The sequence below is a fragment of the Homo sapiens genome, chromosome 4, assembly GCF_000001405.40.
Source record: "Homo sapiens chromosome 4, GRCh38.p14 Primary Assembly".
NCBI classification, from domain to species: Eukaryota; Metazoa; Chordata; class Mammalia; order Primates; family Hominidae; genus Homo; species Homo sapiens.
The window spans coordinates 11739454-11764774 of NC_000004.12; the positions used below are offsets into that span (position 1 = coordinate 11739454).

General features: G+C 35.4%; 2 long non-coding RNA genes across 4 annotated transcripts in view; one reads left to right on the top strand and one right to left on the bottom strand.

Moving 5' to 3' along the window:
- The window catches only part of LOC107986178 (uncharacterized), a 245894-nt gene that overhangs the window by 195481 nt on the left and 25092 nt on the right, over positions 1-25321 (top strand). The gene's annotated exons all lie outside the window — the stretch shown is intronic.
- Positions 1498-25321, bottom strand: part of LINC02360 (long intergenic non-protein coding RNA 2360) — a 28518-nt gene continuing 4694 nt past the window's right edge. The window contains exons 2-4 of the long non-coding RNA NR_146995.1: positions 7533-7599; positions 3658-3793; positions 1498-1782 (exon numbers count right to left, since the gene is read on the bottom strand). This is a non-coding gene — a long non-coding RNA (long intergenic non-protein coding RNA 2360). The remainder of the gene's footprint in view (positions 1783-3657; positions 3794-7532; positions 7600-25321) is intronic.

Sequence of the window (25321 nt, forward strand, 5' to 3'; positions counted from 1 at the left end):
CACTGTGAAACATTGAAGGCTAATGGTGGAGGAGGATCATGTACCTTCTTTACTCATCCCAGATCCTGGCTCTGAGCCTGTGTATAAGAAGTGCTCTTTGAATATTGGCAAATGATTTTGCAGAAAAGACCTTATATTCTCTCAATGGACACTCAGGAATTGGATAGTGCATGTGTTCTGTAAGATGGGAACCATCAGTGCCCTGAATATATTGAAGGGTCATTTCCTGAACCCAGATATGCTCCATTCTCTCAGTTTCTTTAGTTGTATAGAAAAAAACAAGTTTGGATGAGATCACTTCAGACAGTACATAAAATGGCTATTTCTGGTTTTGTTTTTGTTTGTTTGTTTTTGTTTTGTTTTTATTTTGTTTTGTTTTTGAGATGGAGTCTTGCTCTGTCGCCCGGGCTGGAGTGCAGTGGCCTGATCTTGGCTCACTGCAAGCTCCGCCTCCCAGGTTCACACCATTCTCCTGAAAATGGCTATTTCTGAAAAACACATAAGGAAGGTGAATTGCTGAGAGAAGAACTAGAATGAAGAATAAGAGCAGTGGGGAGGTGTATAGTAAGTGGTGCAATTAATGCTTTTTATATTCAATATGTAATTATAGCAGAGATACAATGATTCTTAAGAGAGAAATGGCTGAATCTACTCACAAAAATGGCAACTTACTCGGAAGGTTTTAGAGTCAAGTTTCAGGAAATAAGATAAGAACTATTCCACACTTACACAAACTGTTCCAGAGAACTTGGAAACAGATGATTCACTTGAACTTATTTTATGAAGCTGAGATAATCTTGGTATCAAACCAAGCCAAGACAGATGATAAATGAAAATTATACAACAATTCAAGTTATGGACATAGTTGTAAAAATTTTAAACAAAATATTAACAAATTGATTCCAGTAATATATGAAAGATTCAGGACTCATTTGGGTGTATGCCAGGAATGCTGGTATAGTTTAATATTTAAAAATCTTTTAAAGTAATTATCTTCATTAGTCCATTAAAGGAGAAGAACCATAAAATCACTTCAATAGATTCAAGAAAACATTTGCTAAATTAATTTTTTAATATAGAGAAAACCTAAAACATTTAGGCAAAAAACATATAGGCAAGCATTTTAATAATCCTGGATTATAAATACATACAACATAATGAACTCTACATAAAAGACACCTTAAAAAGTGAAACAAAAGACCATAAACTGTAAGAATATATTTTCAATGTGTGTAACCAACAAAGAACTAAGGTCATCAGTTTACATAAATCCTGGACCATACCTCTGTTTTAGTACTAACACACAAATGTATAGATTTGCTTTTTTGTTTGTTTATTTTTAGGAGATGATGAGCTCCTGGGCAAGACTGAGGTTTGTGTCATTTTGCATCCCCAGCACCGAGAAGAGTACCTGGCACTTATTGGTGCGCAGACAATGTTTACTGCATGATTAGAAGGTTTAACTGGAAAAACCTACTAACCTCTGGTATGAGTGGTCCACCATGTACAAGATAATGTGCTGAGTCAACTTCAGTAGTTTATAAATGGTTAACCATTCACATCATTCAGGGCTTTAGGTTGAAACAATACAAACACCACGAGACAGTTTAGGATGATATGACAAAATGCTATTGATTGAATGGCTTAAACAACAGACACTTATTTCTCACAGTTCTGGAGACTGAGAAGTCCAGAACAAAGTACCAGCAGATCTGGTGTCTGGTGAAGATCCACTTCCTGAAGGTTTCCAGATGGACATCTTCTCCTTGTCTCCTCATATGACTAAGAGCAGAGAAAGAGGAAGCAATTTCTTTATAATTCTCCTTACAAGGGCATTAATCCCATTTATAAGGACTCCACCTGTATGATCTAATCATCTCCCAAAGGCCCTACCTTCTAATACCATCCCATTGAGCATTATGGTTTCAACATATAGGTATTTTTTTGAGTTGGAAGGGGACATAATCATGCAATCCATACCACAACCGAGTGAATGCTTCTTTAGGCAGAAAAAAAAAAAATCCTTACTGAAAAGATAGGGAGTGAGTCATAGATTTCCAGGAAGATTGGAGAATCAGGCTCAAAGGACAAAAATAAGGAGAGGCTCCTAAGCCAGAACCACTGCACAAATGAAGCTGCAGACTTAATCTAGTGAGGGCCTGAATGCTGTTGCCACTGCTTCCAACACTGTACATGAGATCTCCACTGTGCTGTGGGCCATCCCTGGTAGCTGATTCTCCTACTGCACCTCCTGCCCACAAGAACATAAAAGCCTCCATTCCTAGGTCGTTTCTGTCCCTAAGACCAGACACATTCCTTGGCTGGTAGGCAAGGTCACAGGCCTTTATATTTTAATGAGGGATTGGAAAGTTAAATCTTGGCCTCTATCAACCTATAATTAGGGACACGCTTTGTCTGTATGTAGGCACAGCCTTCAGGTGCTTTGCCGTCCATGAAACATTATATGTCTACAACATAGCCTTTCAGCTTTTGGACACTGAAACCCCTTTTTTTCTAGGTCTAAGAGCATAGTCTGAGTTCAGATGAAAGAAAGGGGTTCTCAGATTGCTCTTAAGAGTCAGACCTCAGCAACAACCATCTTAAAACTCCAAGCTTCTCAATTTGGGTGGGAATTCCTCCCAGGAATCATTTAGAAATGTGTTGTGAAGTCTGTTTTTTGTTATTCACTTTTAGACCTTACTATAATTTGATGTGGGGAGAAAGAGAAGTGAAACAACTCACAATACACACAACACTTTATGAAGCAAAGACTTGTCTTACCTCATGCACACATCTTCTGAACGCTTACCATCACCTTCCCTGGGGTGAAAGCCCTCACTGCATGGCTGCTGTCACACTCTATGTGGGGGCCCAAAGCCAGGCTAAACAGTCCGTTGGGGAATTTCAGAACCAAACTTTGTTATTGCACTTGGCAAGGAGAAGGGAAAATAGCTTGATCTGGAAATATGTAGACCTGGATTATAGTCTATTGCATTTAAATTTATCTTGAATTGAGGGGACTATCTGAGACTGGGTCAGGCCCCAGGGCTACAGACTTCAGAAGACCACTGGCTCTCTACTGCTTACCTACTCCCATGACTTGGGGGTCAATTTCATCATCATTTGAACTTAATAGCATCTTCATTTATTTTATTTTCAGTGCTATTTCTGTGTGTGTGTTTGTGTGTGTATATTAACACAGTAACCTTTAGATATTATGTAGCTAGAAAGGTTTTATTCAATAAAGTTATTTTACATCCTAGGCTGACATGTACTTTACAACACTAATGGTCATTGTGTTTACAATTGTCACCCATTTTACTGACCATATTATTTGCTCTGAGTAAAAATATATATATATATATAAACATACATATAAACCCTACTGAATAAGTATTATCTTTGATCTTAGAATTTAAGCTTTTTCACAATATCGTTTATGGAATTGTATAGTAACTAGAATTCCTAGCTATAACTTCTAGCACTCTTTTCCCTATAGAAGGAATAAAAAAGTCATAATAAGAATAACTAATGCTTACATAGTGCTTGGTGGTTTATGAACATTTTCAAATCTTACATACCAATGAAGTAGGTATTACCAATGTGCAACTGCAGTTTATAGTGTTTGAATCATTTGAGCAGAGCAATGCAGCTTACACCAATTGGAGTCAGGATGTCACACCAGGTCTTGAGCCTCCCAAACCTGTTCTCATCACTGCATGGCAATTGCTTTCATCAAATGTTATTTTGAAAATCCAGTATCTTCTTCCTACAGTCATTGAGCATCTTTAAACTTGAGGAGGAGAAAACAAAAGTATCATACAATTAGATCAGAAAAATATATTTTTCTTTTTACTGTTTACATGCAAATATTTGTTGGAGGACATCATCCAAAGTGAAAGGAGAAAAATGTTACTTGAAACCACAGTGGTAACAGATACAACATCATTAAAGGGCAGCTGTGGACACATAAATGTGTGGAGTAAGCATTCTCATTTGTTTGATGATTTCCTGAACTGGGGGCGATTTGATCAGCACATTGGAGGAAGGTGGAGGGAGATAACACAATTGCTGTAATGACCTAATTTTCCAATAAAAGGGTTTTCAGAATCCCAAAATAAAACATTGTGGTATATAATGAAAATAAATTGAGCTGCAGTGCTGATGAAAACAATATCATTGGTGACGCTTTTCCATATCCAAGGGAAAACTTGGAGATTTATTGCTTGTATCGGACCTAGTTCATATCACCAAAGTCTGATCTCTTCAATACATTTACCATATGTGTAAGCACTAATCTTTTTTTAAAAAAATAGAACTTCTATGGGTAAAACGTCAATATAAAAACAAAATGAAATAACCGTATGATATGACTCATCACTTTGATAGTTTCTGTTTGTTGGTGTTAGTATTCAAGTGGTTGTCAACAATTTTTGCATACAACAATTATTATACATTTAATCCTGATAAAATTCAGTTAGGCGATTATATATATATAATATATGCACATATTCCTATGCAATTATTATTATTGTCACTTAAGCAAAGATAATAGAGACTGGCAGCAGTTAATTGACTTGCCAAATATAACAAAGCTGGAATTCCACCCTGCTTCTCTGACCCCAAATCCTGAGTTCTTCAAAATTCTTGGTGCTGCCTGTTTTACAGCATATCAAGATTTCACTACAATACAAAGTAACCCAGTCAATGACCTTTCTCCTCAGTTTTCCTGTTCACACTAAATATGCCATAAATATAGAGCCCCTTCCTGCCATATCCTCTAGTAACCTTAGTCATATTTCTTTGAGCCAATGACTTAACTAATTCTGTTTTCAGGGCTTAGCCATGGAATAAGTTTCATCCATGTGTCTGGTTCGTATTTCTGCTATTCATTTTTCCAAAATCACTAAGTGTCATCTTTCGTCCTTTCAAGTTTAGAGAAAAAAAAAAAAAAAAAAAAGCAAGAATTTCACTTAGAGTGTGACCTAGAAGTAAATTATGTTTCTTAATGGGCAATAATCATGAAATAAATCTGATTTTTTAAAACTTAAGGTTTTGAGCCAATAGATCTTAGATTATATGCCTGCAGAGTACAGGAGCAAGTGGGTTGGCCATATAAATGTTTTGCAAATAGAGAGAAAAAGCTAAGTTAACTTTTTAGAATTATGTCAGTCATGAGGTATTTTTCCTTAATTTCTTTCTGATAATGTTAGCTACTCTCATGTGCAAACAGAAAAAAACCTGAATGCACATAGTAAGTAAGCAGACATCAACAACAGCTACAAAAACAAAAGCAGTGACAGTTTGGTTGAAAAGCTGTCTACTAACTACCTTCTCTCTAGTGCCCATCATAATAAGATGACTTTTATACACCATGTGGGCATCAAATCACATTTTCTGATAGTAAATACTTTCTTATTTTACATGATGAAATTAAATACATGATAAAACCATTATATCACAGAATTCTATAAAGACACTCTGAATTCCAGGATTGTTATCACATAAATGGGTTTGTGATCCACTGAACTAGATATTAAATATCTCTTACAGTGGTGGTGGTTTATAAGTTTATAGTATGCAATATGCTTTTTGAAATCAGGACTTTCCTAGAAAATCAGTCAGATATGATCATCCTTGTATGTATAAATTGAGAATGAAAATATAAAGATACCCAGAAGACTTTCATCATGACAAAACTTTATGGGGAGAAAAAAAAGTCTTGAGAAAGTTTATCCTCCTCCTCCTCTTCTCTCTTCTTCCTCGTCTCTCTCTCCCTTTTCTTCTCCCTGTCCCTCTCTCTCTCCTTCTCCTTGTTCTTCTTCTTTGTGTAGGAGTCCGAAGCATTTAGCATCATCACTGGGCATATAGTGGATGTTTACAGAAATGTATATAAACAATCTGCTGTTCAAGGGTGAGTTTTTCAGTCTGTATTCCATTTCAAGCCCTGTGCGATTTGTCACTCTCATCTCAAATAGCTTTTTTTAATGTAGGGTAGTATATGAATGTTGGCTAAACATTAAGTGTAAGTGCACAGAGTTCAAGCACTTTGAGAGATGCATCGTGTACAAGTATGGAAGAGAAAATGATAGAAATCATTAAGCATGATGGCTCTAAGAGTAGCAGACAGAGGATTCAGGCAAGTTGGAAGAGTGGGAGCTACGAGCAGAAAAGCCAGATTAAGGGTATCTTAATACCTAAGGTAAAGTATGATAAGCCACGTGAACAGAATCAGTGGAAGTCAGCTTGAACAAGCAAAAGGAAACTTAAATCAGTTTTAGATGGCAAAAGTAACAAACTTTCTGCCGGATAAAATAAGAGTCAGTCAATGGAAAAGGGTATTTTAGTATAACTTCATAAAGAAGTCTTTACAAAAAAGTTTGTGTTGGGAGGCCAAGGTGGGCGGATCACGAGGTCAGGAGATTGAGACCATTCTAGCTAACACAGTGAAACCCCGTCACTACTAAAAATACAAAAAAATTAGCCGGGCATGGTGGCAGTGGGCGCCTGTAGTCACAGCTACTCAGGAGGCTGAGGCAGGAGAACGGCGTGAACCTGGGAGGCGGAGCTTGCAGTGAGCCGAGATCGCGCCACTGAACTCCAGCCTGGGCGACAGAGCGAGACTCCGTCTCAAAAAAAAAAAAAAAAAATTTGTGGACAGAAGACCTGGGTTTGAGAACACTGAATTTGAGGGGCTTGCGGGATACACAGGTAGATCTATCTAATCAGAAATGACTTTGTGCTAAGTAACTAGCAATGATGGGGCTGTAGGGTCAATCCCTCCACTTGCCTTCTTCTCCCATCTGCTTTTCAAGTTAGGCTTTCTTAGATCAACCACGTTGCTGGAAAGATATATAAATTCTTCCTTTCCAGCCCCAGACTGTGATGTGATCTTCAGCAATTAAACATGTTGTTAAGATCAGCTTAAAAAGAGTGGCTGCTGTCCTGTCCCCAGTTTTTTGGAGGCTATCCTGGTTTAAGAGGGTTGTCCCAGAGTAATTATTTACAGGACCCCTTTTCTCTCAAAAAAAAAAAAAAAAAAAAGTCCTGGATTCATCACCTTTGCCATTATTGTCATCATCATCATCATCATCATCATCATCATCATCTTAGTCATATAGATGATGTTTACTTTGCATGATCTCTAACAGCTTTAAATAACATTTGCTGCATTATCTGTTTCGATCCTCACAACATCTCAGTGGGCAGGTGGGGACGGAAGTTGACCCCATTTTAAAATAAGGACACCGATGTTTCAGTAACTGCACAGTAGCACAACTTTTTGGTAAGGCAGCAGCGTGTGAATTAGTGTGTTTTGAGTAGAAAATTGTGAGCTTTTTTCACTATACATTCATTTATTAATTTGACACTCTCATCGCCTTTTGACTGGATGATCTCATGGGGTAAAAATCCAAAAACTCATGATCAGTGGGAAGTTATAGATGATGCGAGGCAAATTTTAACAGGAACATTTTAAGAGACACACCCTTGGTTCACAAATTCACATTTGCATGCCAGATGTTTCCTTTTACCTGCCAAGCTCTTTTCCTCCTTATCGGCTTGAGGCTGAAGTCAGCAACTTTGCTTCACCTCTTCTGGCTGGGCAGGGTAATAGGAAATTTTTTTTAAAATGTATCCTCAGGAGGCATCATATTTAAAAGGAAATCCTTTGAAAGTGAACACATTTTTCTAGCAAAGAATCAAAACTTTGACCTGGCACTGAAAACTATTATCACACAAGTGAATATTTCCTTTTTGGTTTGCAGAACATAACTACTAACTTTTCTTCATTTAATTTTCACCAACTAAAATAGGGGTTAGTGACAGCAAGTATGAGGGAATCTAATGCTCTCCTGAGTCTTTCAGATGCTGAAATGCACATTTTCCCCATTACAACACCAGGTTCTCTAAGATGAAATTATGTTCTCAAATTGTATGAAATGGTTTAAGGGAAAATACATCTTGCTAGACCTGGAGAAGTCTTTGAGTTTCATTACAAGTTGAACTAGGAAACTCTGAGACCAACCCTTACCTCCGAAGAACGAAAAGTTATTTGACCTTGAACTAAATATTTCCTTTCACTGAGTCTCAGTTTCCTTACCAAGGACTCAACAGTAATTATCTGAGAACGACCAGATTGTAGGTATGTTGTTTGCTGGACATACCTACTTGGTTACAGAAGTATACCCAGCTCAGCCATTATAACCCATAAGCAGCCATAGGCCATACATAAGTGAATGAGGGTGGCCATAATCTAATAAAACTTTATTTATAAAAACAGATGGCAGACTGGGTTTGGTCTTTGGACTACAGTTTGCCATTTGCCAACCGTCTTTAAGGGGAAAATATCTACTGCACAAACTTGTTCTTAGAATGTTATTAACTAAAATACGTGAATCAAGATATATGAAGTAAATGATAGAAGGTCTGACGTTAAAAATGACAACTAATTTCTTACATTTTCTCTCAACATTTTTCTCCCAACTCACTCCATTGAGATCCCCTACAAAATGGCATGCATTGGCTGACATTTCATACCTGTAGCAATTCTTCCTTTGTTTCCTTGTTATTTTACTACTTTGGGAGGCAAAGTTAGAGAACTGAGAATATTAAGTTTTTAAAGCATGAAGCTTTGAACAAATTTGAGCTCTATTCAATATGTGTGTGTGTTTAAAGCATGAAGCTTTGAATTTGAGCTCTATTCAATGTGTGTGTGCGTGTGTGTGTGTGTGTGTGTTTAACATTTATTCCTTTTAAAATGGAACTTAAAACAGCCCTTTTAGTGAAATTCACAACACATAAAGAAGCCTGTGATTTAGGCCAAAGTTCCAGTTAACAGCTGTGGGTCTTTGTTTAACTGACAATAATAATGAGGAATCCGCCTCGCAGGCATTTATTATTTTAAGCTTGACCTCGTGTGCTTACATTTTATGTCCGTCCCTGCCAGCCTCTATGAGTGAGTCACTAGAACAGCCCCTTCATTTTTCTGAATCAGTGTATTGTCTTCAGAGCTTGCCTTCCTGACTTCAGTTTTTCAATTGCTTTCTTTTCAAATTATCTTACACACCTCTTTTTTCCCCCAAGTATCTTTAGAGTATTAATGCAAAAGACAGATTACTCAGAAACGCTAAAATATAGTAGATTGAAGTTAAAACACACTAAGTTTGCAGTCAACTGGTTCCAATTCTACGTCTGACTGTATTACTGATTACCTACATGTCCTTAAATGAAACACTTTGCCAGGATGACTCTTAGACTTCTCATCTATGAAATTGAGATGAAAATTGTTATTCTTCCTACCATCCTGCATTTCCTGTGTGAATAAAATGAACACTAGCTATGAACACAAAACACTATTAAATTTCTCTTTTTTTCCCTGATTATAATTATTGCTAAAATCACCAAAAAAGCTATAATTTAAATAACACTTAGTGTGGACCTGGAAGTATACGAATCATTGTGCATAAATTAACTTAGCTAAAATTCATAACTAATGTATCAGGTAAATATTTTTCCTCCCATCTTACAGAGGAAAAATCTACGAAGTCTAATGGTGAAGTGATATGGCCAAGTCTCACTGTAACTAAATGAATTGGAGTTGAAACTCTGAAATATTAGACTCCAAAGTTCTTTATCTTAATCAAAATGAAACTTAAACTGAACGTAAAACTTTACATTTTTAATTGACTCTTACAATATTTTAAAGTTTAAATTTAAAAATAATTATGTAAAAGATATGTTTTCTCTTTAACATTTTTATTCTAAAAAATTAAATAAGCATAAACACATTATTTACAAAGAATTCTTTTCTCCTCTTGCAATCTTTTACATTTTATTGTTAGTTTTTATTGGATATTTACAAATAATATTTGAATATTAAGTACAAAGTGATGTATGATACATGTATACAATTTGGAAAGATTAAATCAAGCTAATTAACATACCTATTACCTCAAATACTTATCATTTATTTTTCCTGTCTAACTGTTGTACACTTGGACCAACAGCTCCTCATTTCCACTACTCTCTAGTCTCAAGTAACTATCATTATGCTGTCTGCTTGTATGTGTTTGATTTTTTTATGTTCTACATGTAAGTGAGAATATGTGGTGTCTGTTTTTCTGTGTCTGGCTTATTTCACTTAGCATAATGCCTTCCAAGTTCATCCATGTTGTCACAAATGACATAATTTCTCTCTTATTAAAGGCAGAATAGGATTCTGTTGTGTATATATATCATATTTTCTTTAACCCTTCATTGGTTGATAGACATCATCATCTGGCTATCATGAATAATGCTGCAATAAATGTGGGAATGCAGGTATCTCTTCAATAAGCCAATTTCAAATTCTTTGCATATATACTCAGAAGCAGAATTGCTAGAACATAAGAGAACTCTACTTTTAGTGTTTTAAGGAACCTCTATACTGTTTTGCATTATGGTTGTACTATCTTACATTCCCGCCAAACAGTGTACTAGGGTTTCCCCCTTCCTTCACATTCTTGCCAACACTTGTTATCGTTCAGCTTTTTGCTAGTAGCCATTCTGACAATTGTGAGGTGTTAACTCCCTGTAGGTTTAATTTGCATCTTCCTAATATTTCGTGATATTGAGCATTTTTTTTTTTTTACATTTCCATTGGCCATTTCCATATCTTTCTTTGAGAAATGACTACTTAGGTATTTTCCCACTTTAAAAATCAGGTTATTTGTTTTTTTACTATTGAGTTGTTTGAGTTTCTAACGTATTTTGTATATTAACCTCTAATTAGATGTATGGCTTACGAATATTTTCTTCCATTCTGTAGGTTGCCTATTCACTCTGTTAATTGTTTACTTTGCCATGCAGATGTTTTTTTAGTTTTAAGTAATCTTACTTTTAGGGCTCAATTCTAAAAAATCATTGCCAGACCAATATTGTATAGCTTTTTCCCTGTTTTCTTCTACTCGTTTTACAGTTTTATATCTTATGTTTAAGTTTTAATTCATTTTGAGTTGAATTTTGTATATGGTATCAGAAAAAGTTCAATTTCATTCTCTATGTAAACAGCTAATTTTCCCAACATCCTTTTTTAAATAGATCATGTTTTTCTTATTATGTACTGTTGGCACCTTGGTCAAAAATCAATTGGTCATAAACTTATGGGTACATTTTTGAGCTTTCTATTCTGTTCCATTGGTCAATGTGTCTATTTGCATGAAGCATCCTTTTTTATTGCTTCACCTTCAGTCAACGTATGTCCTTAAAGATGAGGTGAGTTTCTTATAGACAGCATATAGTTGACTATTTGGTCTTTTTTATTTTCATTTATTTATTTTATGTATTTGGCTACCCTGTGTCTTTTTTATTAAGGAACTTATTCAATTTACTTTCAAGCACATAGAGAAGAACTTATTATTGTCATTTAGTGATTTGTTTTCTGGTTATTTTGTATATATGTAATGTCCTTATTGTTCTTTAGTTGTATCCTTTTGTGGTTTGATGGGTCTCTGTAGTGATATGCTTTGAATCATTTTACTTATGTTTTTAATATTTATTATATATTTTTATTTTGTGGTTACCTTAAGATTTACATAAAACATGTAACAGGCTATTTCAAGCTGATAGTAAGTCAACTTTGATCTCATATGACAACACTATACTTTTATTCCCCCTTATATTTTACATTTTTAATGTCAAAATTTACATTATTTTGTAACTTTTGTTCTCTGCCAATTAATTTTAGCTATAGTTCTTTTAATAGATTTGTCTATTAACCATCACAGTAGAGATGAAATTCCTTTACACACTACCATTTTCAGTGTAGGGTGTTCCGAATAGGATGCTGTATTGCTTATGCCATTGAATTTTGCACTTTTATATGTTTTATGTTATTAATTAGTGGCCTGTGCATAGTTTGAATAACTTCCTTTAGTAGTGTCTGTAAGGCAGGCCTAGTGTTGATGAATTCCCTTAGCTTTTGTTTGTCTGGGAATGTTTTTATTTCTCCCTCATTTATGAAGTACAGCTTAGCTGAATAAAATACTTTTGCATGGCATTTTTTTTTCCTTCAGGATGTGTTGGAATATATCATCCCACTTGTTTCTGTCCTCCAGGGTTTCCGTTGAAAAATCTGTAGTCTTATTGAGACTCCCTTTTTTGTGATTTTTTTTTTTATCCCTTTCAGCTTTCAGAATTTTTTGTCCCTAGATTTTGTAGTTTGATTATGACGTGCCTTAGTAAACTCCTCTTTGGATTGAAGACCTCTTCGCTTTCTGTACTTGGATGTTGGCATCAGATTTGGGAAGTTTTTAGCTATTATTTCTTTAAATATTCCCCTTTGGACCTTTTCTTGCTTTTCTTCTGGAAATTCTATTATATAAAAATTAGATCTTTTGTTGATGTCCTATAATTCTCATAGACTTTCTTTATTATTTTTCACTCTTTTGATCCTCTGGCTGGATAATTTCAAATGTTCTGTCTTTGAGCTCACTGATTCTTTCTCCTGCCTGTTTGCACCTGCTGTTGAAGTTTTCTAATGCGTTTTTTCATTTACTTAGTGTATTCTACCTCCCTAGGATTTCTTTTTTTTTTTTTTTTCTTTTTCAGACACAGTCTCACTCTGTCACCCAGGCTGGAGTGCAGCGGCACCATCTCAATTCACTGCAACTTCCACCTCCTGGGTTCAAACGATTCTTGTGCCTCAGTCTCCTGAGTAGCTGGGGCTACAGGCATACGTTACCACGCCCAGCTAATTTTTGTATTTTTAGTAGAAATGGAATTTTGCCATGTTGGCCAGATTGGTCTGGAACTCCTGATCTCAAGTGATCTGCCTGCCTCAGTCTCTGAAAGTGCTGGGATTACAGGTATAAAGCACTGCACCTGGCCTCTTTTTTTTTTTTAATTTCTATTTATTTGTTAAACTCATGATTTGTGTATGTATTATTTTTTACATTTCCTTTAATTTTATATCCACATATTTTATAGTTTACTACATTCAAGAGGATTAATTCCAAACTATTTGTCTGTTATTTCATAGGTATCAATTTTTTAGGGCTCAATGTTGGAACTTTGTTTTATAGGTGTCATGATTTCCTGGATGTTTGTAATCCTTGAATTCTCCACAATTGGGGAGATAGCCACTTCTTTCAGGTTTTACAAGGTTTTCTATTTTCTTGGCAGAGATAGACTTTACTGTTTAATATAGGCTGTGATTCTAGGTGGAACTGAACCCTGGGCCTCCTTGTCAGGTGAGATGACTGATTTAATTCTGCAATCAAGCAGAGCTGATGGCTGGGAACTGTAGTTGACTCTGATTGGGCGAAGCGACAGAGTGTATTCCCTTGACAGATGGTATTGATATTTAAGATCTGAAATTGGACAGAGTTACAGGCTGGGCCCCAAGGGTAAATGGAGTTCCCTCTTTGGACAAATAAGACCAGCTGTTATGCTTGATAGAGATGCATGGTTGAGGTTTACCTCCCTGCCTAGGTGGGGACTTGGGTTGAGCTTTGAAGACGACCTGAGCACCATTTAAACTCCTGGGTCTGGGAAAATCCCTGCTCTTTGCCAAATTGCCCTGTGGTGAGCATCAGTCTTGCTGGGCAGAGGCTTGGAGTAGGGCTAGTAGTTGGGCCTCTTGGCTGGGATATTCAAGCCAGATCCTATAAATTATGGGAGCCACCAGCTCAGTTTTCCAGGTGGGCTATGCTGTTCACTAGTTACTCTGATTGAGCACCACCACTGGCAGGTACACAGGGCCACCACAAAGATCTGTGTGCTGACTGCTATGGGCTCTACCATCTTGCTTTGTTTCCACTTGGCCTCAGATATTCTGCCTATGCTGTTACACCTTCTTTTCCTGTACAGTGAGGCCAAAGTTGGCTTTCTGAGAAGTGTCTCAAAACATGAGAAAGACTAGATGTGGTTCTCTTTTCTCACTTTAGAAACCATGAGCCTTGGACAATCCTCTCTTTTTGGTACTATGTCAACTACAAAGACATATTTTTAAGAATCACCATAACATAATCCTGAACATTTGTAAATAAAACCTTTTTAGAAATGGTTAGGTCAAGCAGGCAAAAATGATCATTAAGAATACAGAAAATGTGAAAAATCAAGTGGTAAAATCTGAAGGCCAAGGCTAAGATTGACAAAGAGGGAGGGATTGATAAAGAGAGAAGTGGGGAGAGAGATAATGATATGATTTGTATGTTTGTCCCCTCCAAATCTCATGTTGAAATGTGATCTTTAATATTGAACATGAGGCCTGGTGGGAGATGTTTGGGTCATAGGGATGGATCCTTCATGAATAGCTTAGAGCCATCCTCCTGGTAATGAGTTAGTTCTCCTTCAGTTTGTTTACACAAGATCTGATTGTTTAAAGGAGTCTGGGATCTTCCCCTTTTCCTTTCTCTCTTTAACCCCATCTCCCATGTTCTCACTTCTGCCATATGACTGCCTGCTCCTGCTTCACTTTACACAACGAGTAAAAGCTACCTGAGGCCTCACCGTAAGCTGAGTAGATGCTGGCACCATGCTCCCTGTACAGCCTGCAGAACTATGAGCCAACTAAATTTCTTTTCTTTATAAATTACCCAGGCTCAGTTATTTCTTTATAGCAACAAAAATGGACTAATACACACACAGAGAGAGGGAGAAAAGAGAGAAAATTCACACAAGGAAAAAAGTATTTTTTTAAAGCAACATTTGTAAATTGTGGTCACAAAATACATTATAAGGTAAGGCTCATTTATTTTCTAAAGATTAAAATTTCATAAATCACATCTTCTGAGCAAAGTTCAATTGAATTAGAAAAAACACTAAACTATATTATTTTAAATTTTATAAGATAAAGAGAAAAGAGCAATTGAAATTAGAAAATACATTAATCTGAATTCCAATTAAAAACACTACATATCAAAATCTGAAATATGTAGTTAAATACTGTCAAAGAATAAGAGAGTATCCCTAAATATTCTGAGCCAAAAATGAAGCAGAAGCAGAAGAAGAAGAAAGAGAAGGAGGAAGAGCAGGAGAAGGAGGAGGAGGAAAAGGAGGAGGAAGAAAGTTATGGAGGAAGAAGAGGAGTTGGAGTAGATGGGAGAAGAAAAAGAGGAGGTTGCACTTCAGCTGTAAAGGCTCAGAAGAACAAACAGAATAAACATGATGATATTGAAAAGAAGAAAATTGTGAAATAGGAGAAAAAACATAAACTAAATAGAAAATAAAACAACAAGGAAAGTTAAAAACCATAAAATCAACTCTGGACTAACTGCAAAATAGATAACTTTTTTTCTCAGGACTAATCAAATAAAACAGATGCCTGTAATCCCAGCACTTTGGGAGGCTGAGGCGGGTGGATCATGAGGTCAGGAGATTGAGACCATCCTGGCTAACAAGGTGAAACCCCATCTCTACTAAAAATACAAAAAACATTAGCCGGGTGTGGTGGTGGGCGCCTGTAGTCCCAGCTACTCAGGAGGCTAAGGCAGGAGAATGGTGTGGACCCGGGAGGTGGAGCTTGCAGTGAGCCGAGATCGTGCAACCGCATTCCAGCCTGGGCAACAGAGCAAGATTCCGTCTCAAAAAAAAAAAAAAAAAAAAAAGGAAAAAAAAGAAAAGGTATAAATAAATAGAGGAAAAAACAAAACTTTACTAACCTGCACATTGTGCACATGTACCCTAAAACTTAAAGTATAATAATAATAAAATTAAAAAAAGATTAAAAAAATTTTAAAACATGAACAACTGTATTCCAGTTAAGTGAAATACCAAACTAAAAAACAAGCAAACAACACAACACAAATTGATTTTAGAAGAAATATACGACCTAAAAGAATTTTAATATTAATACCAGCTTCTGATGCTTTTATAAAATTTCAAAAACTAGGTAATTTTTATCATGTAAAACCATTTTAGATTAATAGAGACAGAAGAAAATTTCCAACTCATTTTAGTTATTAAAACCAAAATAGAATAAGTGACGAATGGGAACTGAAATTATGGGCAAAATTCTTGCATATGTAGGAAAAAATATTAGAAATTTCTAAATACACTAAATATGGGGTGGCGTTTATCACAAGGACATATATATATATGGTCAAGATCATAAAATATATTAATTATATCACATTAGGTATTAAAGAGTAAGTCATTTTATAGGTGCAAGTAACATACTAAAAAAATCTATACTCCTTGGTGTTTTCAAAAATTCACACAACAAACTAATAGCAGAAAGATAAACATTCTAAACGTAATGACGATTACTTAAAATCAAAAGCAAACATACACATTTTGATGCTTAGAAGCACTGTACTTTATTTCCAGTCAAAAACAAGAACAAAAATTAAAAAGGTACTACCACAAATGTATTCAATATTATATTTGAGTTGCTATGTAATAAAATGAGTTAAAAATGTAAATTAACTACATAGGAAACAAGAAGAAAGCAACAAAGTTATTCTTATTTGTAGACAATCAGTTTATTTTATCCAGAGAGGTCCTCCTGAGTGGGCCTGGCTTAATCAGGTGAAAGTCCTTAAAGAGGTACTTAGACCTTCCTGTGAAGAGTCTTTACACATTGGCGGCTTTGAAAGAGTAAGGTTTTTTGAGGTAGACATCATATCAAGAGGGCGACATGGCAAGGAACTATAGCCACTCTCTAGGAGCTGAAAGAGGCCCCTGGTGTCACGTCAACAGCCATCAGGAAGCTCAGGCCCACAGTCATTTTAGCCACAAGCAATTAATTTTACCAACAAACCAAATGAGCTTGGAACTGGCTGTGAAAACTCAGCCCCAGACAACATCTTACTCGAGCAAGACCAGTGAGATACTGAAGCAGAGGGCCCAGCTAGACATCCCAGAAATTCTGACACAGGAAAATTTAGAGACAATAAGGAGTTGTGCTGCTTTAAGAATTTATTTATGTGCTAATTTGTTATGTAGCGATGGGAAAATAATACAAACGACAGTACTTTCATAGTCACAGGGAAAAATAGGAAAGAGTGCAAGAGATGGGTTACATTTTATGTTTGGTGGTTCCTAGTGCAGGGAGCTTCTTAGCACTTCAAGGAGTGAACTGGTCTTGTTTTGAAGGGACACTGTTGAAAGTTCCAGGAAAGCCTGGCATAGGTGGAAGGTGAGCAAAGGGGAGATTAACTGCTTTTTTCAGAAGTTTGTGGTTGTTATCAGGGTTAGATCTTAAACCAGAATTTTCTGACCTCTTAATGAGTTTTAATACACTTTGATTCTCCACTCAAAAATCATAAGTATTTAAGTGGAAATATACATACATACATAGATGATACTGCAAATGCAACCATTAAAAATTCATTTATCAGTATTACATGTACCCAGATAATCACACACAGTGTTTGCTCTTCTTATTCTTTGAAACATAAGAATATCTTTCTACATTTTTTACTTGATTCTTTCTTTGTAGAGGTACCAATAAAGATTCCATAGGTTGAATTATAACATGTAAGGACATTAGAATTTACTTGAAGCTAAATGAATATACCTTATCGTTTAAGACACATTGTTAGCAATGGCCTTTCTCACCCTTCAATTGATTAATAAATTGTGCTTACTGCTACTGCTTAAGGGGCCCAGGGTACTGAGTTGACAAGGAAATCCATCTTTAGACATGAGAACACTTGGCTTTTGAGTTACTGTTAAACATTTTTTATTTTTTAGTGCACAGTTTGACAATGCATTCTGTTGCTTTCCCTGATCATTCAAAAGTTCTTTTGTAAAGTGCAGGCACATTATAAATATTGGCCTGTAATGATTCTATTATTATCCAAATAGGCTGCCACTTCACTCTCAGGAAAAGTTCTGCATGTTTGAAGAAACATGTCAAAGGAAAATTTGAGTTAGTCTAAGACTCCTCTTCTATTTCCTAAAGGTACAATTTAGTGCATGTTTAGTTTTGATAAACTAGAATGAAGGTATATTGATTCCCTCCCTTTTAATCTCTGTGAGGAACAAGTAAACAAAGATGTTTCTATAGGACATGTTTCCATAGGATGTTTCTACTGGACATGTCCTGTTTATGAAGGACATTTTACAAAGTGGAGGGTAAAAGCAGAATGGAGAGTCTACATAGATAGTATGCTGAGGATTCAGTGAGCAGAGATTGAGTCCACTTGTTTTTCCAAGGTCCCTTGGAAATAAACTAGAGTCCCTTCAGAAGGGCCAATAAGCAAACCCCTATTTGGAATCCCATACTTGTGTTCATTTTTATTGCTCTATAGTCATTTCAGGGAATCTTTGGATCGCTCTCTCTTAGAAACTGACGGCTTCTTACACTGGCTGTGAGTTGTAAGGGCTTTGGTATTAGATTCAGCAAAAACAGAAAAGGAACAGCTGGAGAGGGACTTTGTGCTAATTAGTGAACTAGGTATCACTTTGAAAGGTGGGTATTCTGAAACTCTATTTTTAACAATATGATGCTGAAAGCAGCAAAATTAAGTAAATTGAGGAAAGCCACCAACTAGATTATCGAAGAGCTCTTTCCAAAATGGGATAAGTTAGCTACATCCCAGCTATCCTAGATAGCTATTCAGGCTATTTCCAGAGAAAATGAGGCCAGGCACAGTGGCTCACACCTGTAATCCCAGCACTTTGGGAGTTTGAGGCGGGTGGATCACGAGGTCAGGAGTTTGAGACTGGCCTGACCAACATGCTGAAACCCCATCTCTACTAAAAATTAAAAAAAAAAAAATAGCTGGGCATGGTGGTGCGCACCTGTAATCCCAGCTACTTGGGAGGCTGAGGCAGTAGAATCACTTGAACCCAGGAGGCAGAGGTCTCAGTAAGCAGAGATCGAGCCACTGCACTCCAGCCTAGGTGACAGAGGGAGAATCCGTCTCAAAAAAAAAAAGAGCGAAAGAAGGAAAATGAGGCTTAAGTATTCATATTGAAAAAGTGCACATAGTTAGCAATATGACAATTAGCAATATCCTTTTGATTTGAAATACAATTTCTAGTTGGTTCTGCACTCTTGATAGGTAGACTCTCAGTTAACTATTCTGGCACCTGATTATGGGCTGTTTTGCATGCAAAGGAGGAATTCAGTGAATCTGTACAGAAAAGGTCCACTGTATGAACTTGCTCCCCAGTAAATAATTAGTCATTGTTTGGTTTCACTCATAAATGGTCCACATACATACAATATGTTAGCATATATAAGAAGGATACACAAGTTGTAAGATAATATTGTGCATACTCTATGTGTATCCAATAAAGATGTACTCAAATGTGTTCTTTCTCTTGAGGAGAGTGTTCACATTTAACTCATCGCATTGTCAAAAGCATAGAATTTTGTTGAAATTTAGTTGTAACTAAAAAATGTCATTCCCTTTCTTCATTTCTATCTCCCTTAAAACTACATAATTGATTTCAAAATGAGCATTATGGATTCAAAGAAGGACCAAATTGGTTTAATAACAGAAATGTAATCCCACAATAGAACTTGACATGATAATTATTTTCTATGCCACTCTAATTCCATTCCTGGATGCTATATTGTCTGATAATCTTTGGAGTTTTTTTTATTTTAATTTCTGCACTTTTTGAATCTTCATCAACTGCCGTTTCAATTTTTGATGACCAGTTAAAGTCCTTTGATTCCTGGACTTATCTAAATGCCCTTTGTTGTGGTGGTATCATCTGAAATCTTCACTATAAGTGTTTAACACTTCCATCCATCACAGCATGTATTGCTGGACACAAATTATGAGTCATTAAGCAAGTAATTGTGCTCTTAGACTGGTGTCACTTTTGACATTTGTTCTGAGTTCCCTAGACACATCACCACTTAAAATGCTAAATCTCAGTAATCTCCTACTTTCTTAAAAGATGAATAATATACAAATATATAAAAACAGATCTACAAGGGAAATTCAATTACAAAAGATGTTTATCTTACTAAAATAGTCCTTCTTGTGCCATTGGTATAGATAGATTCTCTGAAATGTGAAATTAGATCAGCAGTTTTTGTTGATAATGTTCATGTGAAAATTTGGCATCTGCATATTTTTCTAGTTAAATAAATAATCTTAGAGCACTAATTTACTCTAATGACAGAGACACCATTTGGCTTCACAAAAAACAAAACTAATCTAAGGTCCATTTCCTATTTATGGGGTGTATACAACATTCAGTTGTAACATTCACTGAAGTTTAAAAAATGAGTTCAAGCAAATTTAAAGCACGGGGACACTGGCACAAGAACTCTTTGCCATGAATGGTAATTTGAATTTAATTACAGATGTTATCCCTATGCATTTTCTATCAACATTTAAAAAAACACTCAGCCTTGCCTTTCTCTTCTGTAAGACTTCTACATCTTATTGGTATTCTACCATCGCCTAAACCAAACCTTCTTGCAATTATTTGTTTACAATCTTTCTCTCCCACTAGAAAGATGTTTAGGACATACCACACATGTTTCTATAGCTGTAAAATGTAGTCCAATGACTCTCCAGCATGATGTGAATAATAAGTATTTGTTAAATTAATTAGATTACTTCTGCTTTTCTAAAGCTTAATATTTCATTTCCCTTAAATAACAATTCTACTCTGTATTCCTTTGTCTGTAGATTTCCAAAAAAATCAATTTAATAACCACAAAGATAGCATTTGGTCATATAATATACATTGTTCTTTGGCTCTTTTATTATGTAATTTATTGATCCTTTCATTCACCCATGTATTAATTGACTCAATAATCAAATAGTTCAGATTTTTTTATTTTTTAAGGATGGGTGATACATCTAAAATATAGTTTTTTAATTCCCCCAAATTTCTAGTCCAGTGCTAAATGTAACACTAGTTGTTCATCCTTGAGCACATTACTTAACACCTCTGCCACAGTTTCCACTGTTATTAAGTGGAAATACAATAGCATGTTGTATTGGAAGTGAAGATTAAATTAATTACATAGGAAAGTGTAGCCATGGAACAAATACTATGTAACTGTTTGTTGTTGTTGCATTATTAGCTGACTAATAAATCCATGCCAAGTTGCTTGATAAACACAGTTTATTCCTGGAGAGCAAAGATTTTAAGAATAGTAAATTAGGATTTTTTTTTCTAATTTCTACAGTTCCATAGACTCATTTCTTCTTCTATGATTAAAAAAATTCAAAAGACAAACATAAAGCTGTATAAAACATGGTGATATATTAAAACAAAATTATGAGTAATAAACAAATGAGTCAATCCACCAAGTTACCTATCTTTTAAAAATATGCAGTAAGTTATGAATATACTGGAATGTTTTATTCTGAAACATAACCATTTTTCAACTTCTAACATGGAAAAAAATGGCCAATGCAGGTTGACTGCTGCATGCTTGTTTCAATGCTGCTTAGCACAAGTTCAGAACTCATCATCACAAGTGGTTTTAAATACTTTTAAATTGTTTTTCTAAGATAAGCAAAGCTAATTTATTAAGTTTCAGATTTCTTTATCTGAGCCACAAAAGTACTCTTAAGTTGTTCTCTGTTCATTTATCTATATTTTTGAACTAATTTATTTCCTATTTTTAACAAATCTAGCTAGAACATAGTTGGCAAAATACAGAGTTGGGAGTGAGTCGAAAGGCTCCTTGGGTCTTACATCTGCACTTTTCTCACTGTGTTCACCTGGAGCAGATCATTTGACTTCTAATCTTAGGATCCTCATTTGAAATGGTGATATGCAGAAAAATAGAAAATGTGAGTGGAGTGACTTGCACAGTGTTTGGTACAGTAGTTGCTCTGTGAAGCCTATTTCCATCATCCCCAAGCTTTCTCCTTGGAGCTATAATTTAGTTTTTCAAAATAGAACAACGTGATTTTTTTGTTACTTCTATTGGAAATCCCAGCCTTTCTTTTTCCAGAGAAGCTTAGTAATTGGCGTCATTGGCAGCCAAGTGTTATTAAAAATTTATATTTGGAAATCGTGCAGGGTCCTTAAAAAACATCTGATCCATGTTCCTTCTCAGAATATAATCATCACTGCAACAGCCCTGAATTCTGATTATTCACATCGTCCTTGAACATCTCCATCTTCCAGGAACTCCCTCTGTCCATAGATGATGCATTGTAATTCTGTCCATCTCTGCTAAGATCTAAAATTCATTTTCCTGCTTTCTCTCCATTGACGTCTCCCTGACTCCTTGAGTAACCATGTAACAGGTCTGACCTCCCTTCCTAGCCCACCTCAGCTGTGTCATCCAGCTTCCTCACTCTCCTTTTACATATTTAATCTCTCAGAGAAAGACTATTCCTTGTTCTGAGGTTTGGAGCAAGTTATTTACTATCTTTGGGCCCTCTGTTTATTTAGCTAAGGGCACAGATAATATCTATCTACTTTTCTTGGTTGTGAGAAATAAATAAAATTATATGTACTATTCAAAAAGCATTTATTAAGCCCCAATTATATGCCAGGCCTTAGTTTAGAACGTGGAGATATAACAGTGAACACAATAAACAAATGTCTCTCTTTTGTGAGCTTTCTTCCTTGTGGAGGAGGCAGACAGAACACAACCTATCATTAGCATAGTAAACAAGCAAGATAGATAATAGGTTGGTAGGTAGTGATAAATGATAACATAGAACAGTAGGACACATGTAATATTGGGGTACAAGGTAGTACATTTAGGCAAGGTATACAGGGAAGACTTATGAGAAAGGTAACATTTGAAGAGACTTGGAGGGCCAAAGGAAAGAGTTAGATGTATTTGAGAATGAGAACATTCCAGACAGTTGGAACAGCAAGTATGAGGGCCTTGAAATGGGACCTTGACATCATTTCTGTCATGAAATAAAAATCAATGAACTTAACATCAGTTTTTCTATAGAAATGTTTAATTTAACCTAAGAGAGTCTCTGAACATTCTTTTTTAAGAAAAATCTTATATTTTCTCACCACAACAGTACACATAGGGAAACTGGTAGTGATATTATCATAAGAATTAACAATACACCTATTTAGAATTTAATTTTACAGTGCTCATAAGCATTAGCTTGCATTCCCAGACTAATCAAGTTATTGGAACATTGGCCACCCAAATGCTTTTTACAATCAACATTTTTGGATATGTATTTAGCTTTCAGAGACGATCATAATGATATTTCGTCTCCAAATATCTCGTGTCTTCTAATGTGATAGAAAAGAAACAAACAAACATCTACTGCTTTTCATTTGGAAGACACACATGCCAGATGTGGTTAAAGTTTGTCCATGGAAAGTGAAATTTCAAATTGTGAACATACCCCAAAGAAAATATTAAGGACAAACGCATAACAACTAAACATTAATGAATACTGTTGTTTATTTCTTCTCCCTTTCCTTCATATTTTCCGTAAAAGTTTTAAAGATTAACATTTTAATATTTTATCAAAGGGCTCATGATTATTTGACATTGTCTGATAAGATGTGTCTAAACAAGAAATATATATATATATATTGTATATATATGCATATGCACACATACATATTTATCATGGGTGATGTATCACATGGAGGTCAAATTGTGCTCCCTTTTCTAGGAAGGGACACTTTTCCCTAAAATTTAGCCAGTATGCTGCACGTAGGCCAATGCAGCTAGAAAAAGTCTCACTCACTCTCAAGGGAAAGGGGCGGGGGAACAAGACTATTGCCAATCAAACAACACCTGTTAAATCTGCCTACTTGGGCTTACATTACAATGACCCATTAGGCATAAAGGGTACTTTTTACCGTACTTGTTTTATAGGATTTTATTATTTCTGAGCCACAATCTTTTGTTGTTGTAACACTATGGAATGTTGAATTAGGATTAAAATATCATTAGATAAATTCGAAGTTGCAGATAATCAAGTAAAATATAAACTGAAAGCAGAAAATATTCAGATAAAAATCTTAGTCTGTGTATTGTGGAAATGACTGTATGTCTGATGATTTGCTGTCAGTTTCACTGAACTGTAACATTAGTGTGCAACTCTGCTTAACATTTCCTTAAAACTTATTTCCTAATTTTTTTTTTTTCTCAGAAATCTCCAAGTGAGAAGACCTTACTTGTCTTCTGAAAGTCTGGTAACTTTCACCTGCACATAATGCTACCATCATTTCCTTTTCCTTCCTTCTTTCCACCTTTCCCTTCCATTTCCTCCCCTTCCCTCTCCTCCCCTCCCTTTCCCTTCCATTCTTTCTTTATCTTTATTGAGGTATAATCGATAAGAAACAAAACACTTTGCACATATTTAATCTATACAATTTGGTGAGTTTGGACATGCACATGCATCTGTGATATTATCCGTATAATCAAGGTACAAGTGCATTCATCACCACTAAAAATTTTCTTATGTCTCTTTTGTGTGGAGGTGGGGGGTGGGGGGGGTAAGAATGCTTAACGTCTGGTCTACTCTTTTAACAAATTTTTAAGTACTCAATACAGTACTGTTAACTACAGGCACTATGTTATACAGAAAATCTGCATGACTTATTCATTTTGCACAATTGAAACTTTACACCTTTGAATAACAACTCCTCCTTCCCCTAACCCAGACCCTGGCAACTACCACTCTCTTCTCTGATTCTCTGAGTCTGAAAATTGTAGATACCTTATATAAGTAGAATCGTACAGTATTTGCCTTTCTAAGACTGGCTATTTCATTTAGAATGGTGTCTTCCAGATCAATTCATGCTGTAACAAATGCATAATTCATTTCTTTTTAATGACTGAGTAATATTTGTATATCTTGACTGTTGTAAATAGTGCTGCAATGAACATGGGCATTCTAATAGCTCTTTGAGATTCTTATTTCAATCATTTATTGAATGTGTGTGTGTATATATGTATATATAAACAAAGACACAGAAAAGGAATTGCTGGACCATAAGATAGTTTTATTTTTAATATTTGGAGAAACCTTCATACTATTTATTTTCCAAAGTGGCTCTGCCAGTCAGCATTCTCACCAATAGTATTAAAATGTTTAAATTCTTTTCACATCCTCACCAATACATTGTCTTTTTATATATATTACAATAGCCATCCTGATGGGTGTGAAGTAATATCTCATTGTGCTTTCACTTCGCATTTGCCTAATTAGTGATGTTTAGAATTTTTTTACATGATCGTTTGCCATTTTTATGTCTTCTTTTCAGAAATACCTATTTAGATCCTCTGTCTAGTTTTTTTTTTAATCAGGTTGTCTTCTTGCTATTGAGTTCTCTGAGTTTCTAATATATTTTGGATACTAATCCCTTATCATATGTATGGCTTACAAATAAATTTTTTTTTCTATTGTATAGATTGCTTCTTAACTCTATTGTTTACTTTGCTGTGCAGAAGCTTTTTAGTTTA